The following is a 1,215-nucleotide window of genomic DNA, read 5'->3' on the forward strand; positions in this document are numbered from 1 at the left end:
ACCGCGCCCGGCCCTGTTTTTGTTTTTAAGTAGAGATGGACCTCGGCCTCGCAAAATGCTGGGATTACAGTTGTGAGCCACCATGCCTGGCTGGAAGTGATTTTCAAAATCAGACATAAAATGTGCAAGCCATACAAGAAAATTATTGATAAATTTTATTCTATTAAAACTCAGAATTGATATTTATTAAAAGATTCCATAAAGAAAGCAAAAATCAAGCTACAAACATTTTAACATACATAATCAAAAAATTATTTGCATACAAAATATGTTCTAATTCTTTAAACCATTTATGTGTGTTATATACACTATTCTGAAAACAAAAACCAGCACCCAAGACAGACAAAGCGTGTGGAGCTAGTGTGGCTAAGTTGAGGCGGGAAATTAATGCTGCAACAAAGTTACTGACTGTCTCCAACCTGTTTTGTGGTGTTACACATGGGCATAATAATAGCTCCTTCCTCATAAGGCTCTCGGAGCTATAAACCACAGTGTGTCTAAAATACCTTGCCCAGGGTCTGGCGCATGGCAAGAGCTCAACCAATGGTGAATGGTTGGAACTATAAATAAATAATCGTGTCAGAGCCGAGTGGGAATCAAACTCAGCTCCTTAAGTCCTCCATGACCTAGACAGGATTGTTCCAGACCATGTGGCAGAAGTTAAGGGGCCTTGGTGATGAAGGCAAGAATGCCCACACTGTTTCTCCTGTTCCTCCCTCTTTCTGTCCCTGAGGCAGTAGCTGACTCCAAACTGAGTCTCCCACACATATCCAGCAGGGCTCAGCCTCAGGGAATCCATAGGATTCTGGGGGTGGACCTTTGGGAGGAGAAACCATCTCAACTAAGACACTTTCCTCTCTCGTCAGCAAAGATATTCAGAGATGGATAGCCGACTTACATTTTTATTTTCTTCATTAATTAATTTTTTTGAGACAGGTTCTCTTTCTGTCACCTAGGCTGGAGTACAGTGGCAAGATCACTGCTCACTGCAGCCTCAACCTCCGGGGCTCCAGTGATCCTCTTGCCTCAGCCTCTCAAGTAGCTGGGACTACAGGTGTGATGCCCAGCTAATTTGTTTGTTTCTTTGGGTTTTAGTAGAGATGAGGTCTTACCATGTTGCTCAGGCTGACTGTTCCATGTCAGCCTCGCAGAGTGCTGAGATTACAGGCATGAGCCACCATGCTGGGCCAATTTACATTTTTTAATAGGAGAAAC

The 1,215-nt window shown here is 43.1% G+C and overlaps 1 annotated feature.

Annotated features, from left to right (window-relative positions):
• Positions 472-521: a silencer, noted in NCBI's record as "silent region_15055". NCBI's record gives its function as "represses an Ori minimal core promoter by ATAC-STARR-seq in GM12878 lymphoblastoid cells {active_cell/tissue: GM12878}" and the evidence as "EXISTENCE:reporter gene assay evidence [ECO:0000049][PMID:35858748]".

Source organism: Homo sapiens, chromosome 3 (assembly GCF_000001405.40).
Source record: "Homo sapiens chromosome 3, GRCh38.p14 Primary Assembly".
NCBI classification, from domain to species: Eukaryota; Metazoa; Chordata; class Mammalia; order Primates; family Hominidae; genus Homo; species Homo sapiens.